We start from the raw sequence: 9,331 nt of genomic DNA on the forward strand, positions 1-9,331 counted from the left end.
GCCTGTCATCATGAGCAGAACTCTTCTGTAATCCTCCATAGAAGAGTAGCAGGAGTGAGAAATGTCTTTATTGTTTTTAAACGTTGAGCTTCGGGGGCCACTCGTCACCTGAGTATAATTTAACCTACCTGATGCATCACTTTACCTCCATTTTGAGTTCTCATAGAATTAGTTTGATGTGTGTCTTTCCACATCTTGGTTCACACACAGGAAAAAAAATGCAAACATATACATACAAATATAGAACACTTTTACAATCAAAATGGAATTACACTGTTCTCCTTGATTGGTAGATTTTTATAATAATAAGATTGTATTGTATATATTATATTTTGATTGTATATAAAATATTTCATAGAAAATAATTGATGCACTTCTTTATTTAATAATATGGAGAAATTGTCACTTCATAATTTGAGTAAAATGTTCATATAAAAAGGAAAGAAACTTTCAGGTAAATATATGTCCTTTGTAAAAATTGTTCTCAATTTAGATAAATGATTCTATTCGTAATCAAGTTTAATTGGCATAGCATTTCTCTTTTTCTCTTATTGTATTCTTTTCTGTATTCTGAATTATTATATTTTGAATTCCTTATATTTTGAACTATATCAAAAACAAACAAATAAGTGTAATATTCAAGAAACGTTTTATACATATTTTCAGAATCGCCTCTAGTAAACGAAATACTTTACAATAAAACACTACTTAACTTTCTCATAGTCTGAGGCTATAATTTTACTTTGCTAAATAATTTTAATCTATTGAAGTTTCATATAAGTGCTAGATTACTTTATAAATAGTTGATTTTACTTTCACAGGTTCATTAAGTTCTTTATGTAAACTATTATGAAATTATGGTCACACCAAACACTGTTTTAGTTCTAGGAACTGAGCAAGTTTCTTATGTACATTAGATTGATATATGAGCGGTGGCTTGAAAAGCCCCTGTTTCCAATGAATTTACAATGATTTCAGGAAGATAAGACCTATATTTCAAGTAATTTAAGAGTAGAAGATTATATAATTAAATGCTAATCAACTATTATTCAGCATATTTTAAAATAAAGTTATCTCACATTTTAGACAAAACTTCGGGTTGTATCAGTCATCTTCCAAAAAAATGCAAACATGATGTAGCTTTTATAAAAAACAAAACAAAATAAAAAAACTTTCAAGACGACTGATTTTCTGAGAGTTTAGATGTTTGTAATATGATTTCTTCAAATAGGCAGTATCTCAGTACGTATTATATAATGACAGAGTAAAATCAATCTTTATTAATCTTTTTTTGTGATTAAGGTGATCCAAAAATAACTGGAAACTTCAAGTCACAAGTTTATCATTTCTTATTACCTATAGAAATAATTAAAATGTACAAATATATAATTTTACTTATTAATAAAGTTAAATGGTTACATATATATATAAACAAGTTATATTTTTAACTATATCTCAATGTTCATTATGCATGTACTTCATTATGTTCTAACATTGAGATATCGTTATACGTATAGCTTATTTTTATATTATACAAATAGATATTCAATTAACAGGATATTTTATTTTATAACACTACATGTTTATTATCCATGAGAAACCCAGAAAGAGAGAAGGCATAAAGGCCTTTATTTTCTTATATGTTAATCATTTAAAAAGTTGTTTATAGGACAAAGAATGGTTTTATAAGAATATAATTCTTTATTCTAACATAATATTTTTAGCTTCACATGGAGCAATGTACAATAAGAAGAGAAAACTTGTTGGTTATTTCTGAAAGTTGATCAAATTCATTTATGACAAGCACTGCCTAATTCCAGAAGGCACAGAAACCTAGTGAGTGAAACCTATTTAAATTCTTCTTTTGAATAATGAAGCGTAATTTCTGGGTTAGAATGACATTCATTCATCCCAGCTAATGAAAGGTCTAAGCTCTGATTCCTGTACAGAAAGAGAAAAAGAGAAAGGGAGAAAGGAAGAGAGGGAGCACACAATTCAAAAAGGATGCTTTTAATATTTTCATATTATAAATTGTCTCTTGCATAAAATCGCCACCAACGAAATAGCTTTAATAGTACCCAACAAAATACTTGATCACTTTTCCCAAAAATGTTTTCCTCTGTAATAAAGTTCAGTACTTACCAATAAAGTGAAAGTAGACTTGAAAAATGATTATTTTCATTGCCGGGACTTTCTCTAAAGAAATCATCTGCTATGACAAAACTCACATGTCAAGAAAAGTTTTCCTGAAGGAACTAGTGGAAAAGCAAGTCAGGAGCAGGTAAGGGATTTAGGGTAAGAGAAAAAGTATGTGCCAATAAGATAAATATCTCTACCTACAACATTGTTTACCCCTTTTAGGAGCTGAGTAAACTTACTATAAGTGCATTCCCTTGTTGATATTAAGTAATGAAATTCTTTCAAGACAGTTGAATTATATTTGAATTGTGGGACAAAAATTTTTGTAAGTTACCACACTTAATGTACAACATAAAATCCATAGTCTTTTTTATTTATATAATCATTTAGTTATTAATGAAAATAATGAAATTATGAGGCTGTTTTGCACACTTACCATATGCCAGGAAGCAAGTACTGAAAATTTTACATTATCTTACTTAATCCTTTTAAGCAACTTATGTGATTAATTTTTCTCAATATACCCATAGTGAACTTTTGGTCCAGACATGTTAAATAAATTGCCCAATGTCAGACAGCTAGTAAATGGCAGAGCTAGTATTGATAGCAAGGTTGTATGATTTGCAAATCTGTATTTATTCCAGTGTGTCACACTGAAATTAATTCAACATCAAGGTAAATATGCAGCAATATTAGGAAGGTAATATTGTATTATAATAACTGATATTTGTTGTATATATATTATGTGCCAGAGACAGTGAAAATATTTTTCAAATGTATTATTCGATCATCCCAACAGCCCAGTATTATTTTCACCATTTTAAGATGAAAAAAAAAAAAAAAACCCTGAGGCATAGAATGGTTAGATCACTTGCCATAATTTCGTATTGTTAGATCTTGCTAGAGCTGTGATTAAACTCAAGGAAGACATAAGTGAGGGCCTGCAGAATGTTTGTAAGTGAAATTAAGATTTGGGGCATGAACACATAGGAAGGAAGGCTTAAGCAGTTGGTTAGTACGTTTTCTTCTACTAGTATGAGTACCAATGATACAGGCAGTTATCTCAATATTCCATTACACTTTCTGTGACCAGATGGTAACAAAACCGTAGTGTAATATCTGCTGAAATGTTGTTTTTCCTTTATAATCAGTAAAATTATGTGTAACTCAAGTTAGAAACAATCTTTTGGCCCACATGATGGTGTTCTGTTTTTGTGTAACCACTACTATGAAAGATTTACTTAAGAAAATACTCTGGATTCATAGAAAGAAAAATAACGGGAGAGGGAGAGATTCTAAAAAGACTCAACACAGGTTCTCTAGGGTACTAATTCTTAGAGATGAGGGGAGATAGAGACAGCAAACATAAATAAGGAGATGTTCATGGACCCAAAAGCTCTGCAGCAGGGGACATAAGCATCAAAGTAAAATAATGTTGTAATGGTTAATTTTATATATCAACTTGGCTAGGCTATAGTGCCTAGTTATTTAATCAAAGATAAATCTAGGTGTTTTGAAGGTATTTTATCAAGTGGTTAACATCTGTGATCAGTTGACTTGAAGTAAAGGAGATTACCCTTGAATATGTGGGTGAACCTCATAGAAGCAGTTGAAGGCCTTTAACAGAAAAAATTTAGGTGTCCTGAATAACAAAAAATTCATTCTTAGAATTCCAACATCAACTCCCGTATACTTCCAACGTGATGGATTTCCCTACATGTTTTTGATATGCCAGATCCCACAATGTGAGCCAATGCCTTAAAATAAATCATTCAAATAGATAGATGATGATAGATAGATAGATAGATAGATAGATAGATAGATAGATAGATGACAACCCACATTGTATCCATACCTCCTAATATACATATATTAGTACCTGACTGCAAGAAGTGTTTATTTCAATCATTCTAAACTGTAATGGCCTTGATGTTCATCAAAAACTGCATATGCCAAGGACACAGCCAAGAGCAGATAAGTCTATCTCACAGCACCTGCCATTATCTGTGAATCTTATCCAATGGTTAGATTCAAAAGATTCTGTCTAAAACTTGAGCTTATGTTAGATCTCAGAGCACTGATTCCCTTTTGACCAATAGCACATTTTGATTTGGCCATTGGTCAATGAGATTCAGCATTGTGATTTATAGTGTTTGGGAAAACAAAGTTTCTCTTATCAAAGATGCATTTCTGGAATGTTTTTATTTTTCTGTTACACTGAGAAAGACTATAAATAAATTTTTCTTATGGTAAATACTTTTAAATATAAGTGGATCAAAATAAAATAAAAAATTAAGATTAAAAAACTGGCTATATAATAACTTTATTGTTTAGGATTATTTTGACCATTAGTTAAGTTAAAATGCTATTCAGTTATATTGATATAATTGACATGTAAATATAAGGTATTGTATAAACACTACTTTTTAGAGTTATTATTCAGATTTGAACCTGATAAGGTTTATATTAAAATGTTTTGTTATGAAACCCTTGTGTAATGCAAAAAAACTCTGTATAAATTAGTATAAAATTATTATAGTAATTTTAATAAAATGATACAATATTTGTATATATTAATTTCATATATAAGTTATGTTTAAAAAAACTAAAATGTAACCCAGATTCTCACTTAGGAAATAAAAATTTAAGTGACCTATTTCTTCAGAAGATCCCACTAATGTCTATAGATTAATGTTACCATTAAAAATCAATGTGAACAAATCATTTCACATCCAGGAAAGTGCTAGTATTTTAATGTCAAAACAACATAATAATTAGCAAAATAATTATTTTCTATATTTCAAGGCGGGTTTCATTGAAGATGAATTTCTTATTGAAAAGGGGCAAGCAACACCATCATAAAAAAAGGTTTAGCAGTAGAGTAGTTATCAAAGAATGGTGAATTGATTACGCATTTACAAAATTTCCTTACAAGTAAGTGCCATGCAGTAAAGAAAAAGAAGTCTCAATACATAAAGTTATAAACAGTCACTGTCCAGTTCTTGGTCTGAATTCAGTTTTTCTTCAGTTTATTTAAGATGAACCCCCAGATTAGGATGCCCTAACAACAAAGTCAAAGTTAATTAGTCTTAACTAACAGACAAGTAGTAAACTTCTTGAGGTCAGCTCCACCCTCAAGAAAGTGGACATTAGGGAGAGATTTTAAAGCGGTGTCTGTTTTTATAGGCAGTGCAGGGAAAGGCTAAGCCAATAAAATGTAATGGTTCTATTCTATATTTCAATAGCAACTTCCGAAGGACAGAACACTTCCCTATGATTTGAAGGCAAAGCCTTGTACCAGGTTAGAAATGATATGTGAGCAAAGAAAATTACTGTCATTTTACTTTCCTTCTGAGTGCTGAATGTAACAAGTGAATAGCAATCAAACACATATCAATCATTGGCTTTTTGGGTGCAGGATCACTCATGCCTTAGGCCATGTAGGGACCCCAGGGACCACCGTAAGGATTCCTCAGTTTACCCAGTTGATAGATCACAGGAGGTTCACATTGGTCTGTGTTTGGGAGGGAAGAAGAAACACCAATCTAAGAATCTTGGGATGCTGTTGGGAAATGTTAGGCGTGAGCAGCTGTAGTCAATTAGAGCTTCATTTTCTCTCGAGTCGTCTTTGGTTGCATGCCACAACTGCACAGGGCATGGAGGTTTATGACTCTAAAATAGCCTTGTCATTTGTGAAGCCTAACAGAGCAAAGAGGTTTGATAAATAGTTTTTTAAAATGTTACTTAGAAAGCCACTTCAATCAGATTAGTTTTCTGTTGTTTGTTTTCAGAATCCCAGTAGCCCACCAGCATCTAGTAGGTAAACATGAATGGCACCAAGTTGGTGACTAAAATAAAAGCTTTAAAAAATACATGTCTTTATTTGTTTACAAGGCATTTATGTGGCATACTATGCTAAATTAATTCAATCAATGGTGTATTTAGTTTCTTTTACTCTTAGAAAGAGCACTTACATGGAACATGGTGCAAAGATGTTATAAATTGGTCACAAAGAAAATATGGGTTTCAACTCTCAACAGTTCAAAGTTTTTATTTTACTCCTAGGAAGAGACACTAATGATTTGCTTTCCTGCCATATTTTTCATTTATGTCATCACTTAATACAGGAGAAAAAAAGTTATAAAATATTACACAGTTTGTGTATTTCAGTGTCAGTAGGCCCATCTGCTGTTACACACTATTGAATGCTTGCAATTGAAAAGAGAGATGGAGATGCCTATTTTAAAACAGAGTGCTTTCTAAACTCAATCATTTAATTTACTATTAAGTATATGTATGTAAATACATATCAATTTATTGAAAAATAAATCATCTGGAATTCTGGAAGCCAGTGGCCTAGAAAAGTCTACTACTTTGCAGCAGACTGCAGAAGCAACAGGGCATTTTCCCACTGGTGTTCAATGTAATTGTAACAGTGATGGGATTCAGACTCTCCTCCATGTGAGATTTGTCTTTCATTCAATCAACGCAAACAACTAATGCACTGCAAGGCATATTACATTCCATCCACTTCCCAATAAAGTCAGGGGTATCCAATCAGGCACCTATTGTTAGCAGAGAATCTGAAATTGATACAATCATCACATTGATCCAAAGTTGTCAATCATCTTACATCTTTACTTCCTTCTTTCTCTTCTCTCAGAATTTATAAATTGCAATGAAAATTGTCATATTTATACCAAATTTTAGAAAGTAATTGTTGAAATCATAGGTTTTTCAAAGTATTTGCAAAGGTAATTTTTTAAAAAGTGCTCCATATTTTTTTTCTACGTGGTGCTTAATACTTTGACAAATGTTAAACACTTTTGACTGAAAACTAGTTTTACTTTAATCTGTTGTATTTGTTCTATTCTCTTTTAAAGAACTATAGAAAGCCTATACTGCATCATAAAACTTGTGACTTATAAAGAGCTCTTGATGTTCAACTTCAGTTTTATTATTTTCTTTATGTTTATATGTAATAAAAGCTATTACGTATGCAGTTTGTATAAAAACATTTATTGCCTATTATATACTCGTTATGCTTTGTGAATGAGCAGATTGTAAGCTTCTTAAAGGCAGGAACCTGAATTATATATTTTTTGCAATCACAACCCGAAATATTCCAGATATTTTGGCATTATGCTGCATAGTGGAAGAATAAAACTTCTACAGTAGGTAAGCATCTCCTTTATTGCCATTTATTTCTGAAGATATCTGAATTTATTATCCATAATGTTTGCATTTAATTTCTCACAGTTTAGTAGTGTCAGTTCCTTAAATGTCAGAGGATGTGAGGGCACTGGTTGGAGCAAATGAAGAGATTACACATGAAAGACCTCTGGTCCTAAAATAGTAGTAGAAGCATTAAAATACAGTATTCTCTTTCTCTGTGTGAATGAATTATTACTTTCACTAATATTTCAGCCTCTGTTTGATTATTCTATATTATTTGTAATACTAAATTCTGTTCTTGTGACATAAGTTTGTCATAAGGCAGTACTTTCTTAGACTTGCTAATGCCAAATCGAAATAATACCTAAAGATCTAAGAACCCATAAACAAATAAGTAGAACATAATTCCAAATAATATATTTAATGAAATAGATCAAGTTCACAATAACATTAAGATTGAAATAAACATTTAAAAAATTTTGTGATGAACTTTAAACATAAAAGTGGAAAGCAAGAAATGCAGGTCAGGAATGTCAAATTTGTACATTCAAACACTTGGAATATTTATACTATTCTTATTGAGAGCAAAATGCATGAAATATATGAACTTTCATCTCATCTATGAGTCAGTTCACTCAACATTTCAAGAAAAGTATCACCAATCCTGTTTATAATAAACAATTAATTAAAAAGAGAAAATTAAACCAATGTATAATATTGGTATAAATACAAATGCATTTTTATTATACTCATATATATGTCACAAATAAATAATTACCATTTCTCAGATTCTGAATTCCCCACCCTCAACTACAGTTGCTGTTTGTTACAAAAATGGTTGCTAAGAATATATACATATGTACACACAAACGCACACACACACATAACAATGACATGGGGAGCAGATGCCACCCATAGGATAAATGATGTCACTGCCATTTGAGCTATTAGATAGTAAACAGTAATAAAATTAGGTCATTACTGACCAGGACTATGCATATGTGACAAAATTGTTTCACGAAGAGAATTGTAGCACCTGTTTACAGAGTTGCTATTAATATTCATATATCCATCCAGAAAATCATATGTAAGCAGATGGGTGAAATTTGAAACCTGTCAAAGCACAATTTCTTAATTGCTTTAAATAAAACATTGCTACAGTTGGTGGAGAAGCAATTAGATGTATGCTATATTCATTACCATTTCCCAGTGTTACTTTTTTTTTTTTTTTTTTGAGACGGAGTCTTGCTCCCTCAGCGCAGGCTGGAGTGCAGTGGTGCAATGGATCTTGGCTCACTGTGACTTCCACCACCTGGGTTCAAGCAATTCCGCTGTCTCAGCCTCCCAAGTAGCTGGGACTACAGGCACCTTCCAGCATGCCCGGCTAATTTTTGTATTTTTAGTAGAGATGGGGTTTCACCTTGTTGGTCAGGCTGGTCTCAAACTCCTGACCTCAGGTGATCCACCCGCTGTGGCCTCCTAAAACTCAGGGATTACAGGCATGAGCCACCACACCCAGTCCAGCGTTACTGTTTTTATAATTAGGAAAACTAATATGGATGATATTTATCACAGCATCAGTGATTGGTACAAAATTCGACTTCTAAATTTTCAGTGATACTTGTAGAGAATAAATATCAGTAGGAATAATAATCCACCTTACAAAGTTACTAAAATTCATGTGTCAAAACATGTAACGAAAAAACAAAAAAGAGAACGGAAGATTAGTTGTATTTGTAAATGTAGATACAAAACCTAAAGTACATCATTGACAAATCAAGTGCTCTTCAAGGAATTCAAAGCTAGTTTGATTTTGGGAAACACATCACTAAAACATAATAGTTTAAGTGGTCAAAGAGAGTAGAAAAGCAAAATCACTTAAAGCTACCTGAAAGGCATTCAATAAATGTACTATCATTACTGAATTTTAAAAGCAAAATGAAACAAAATTCTTACGTATCATGTATATGGTAAATGTACCTTTCTAAACTGTCAAGGGCATTTTAATTTTTGTTAA

Source organism: Homo sapiens, chromosome 5, assembly GCF_000001405.40.
Source record: "Homo sapiens chromosome 5, GRCh38.p14 Primary Assembly".
NCBI classification, from domain to species: domain Eukaryota; kingdom Metazoa; phylum Chordata; class Mammalia; order Primates; family Hominidae; genus Homo; species Homo sapiens.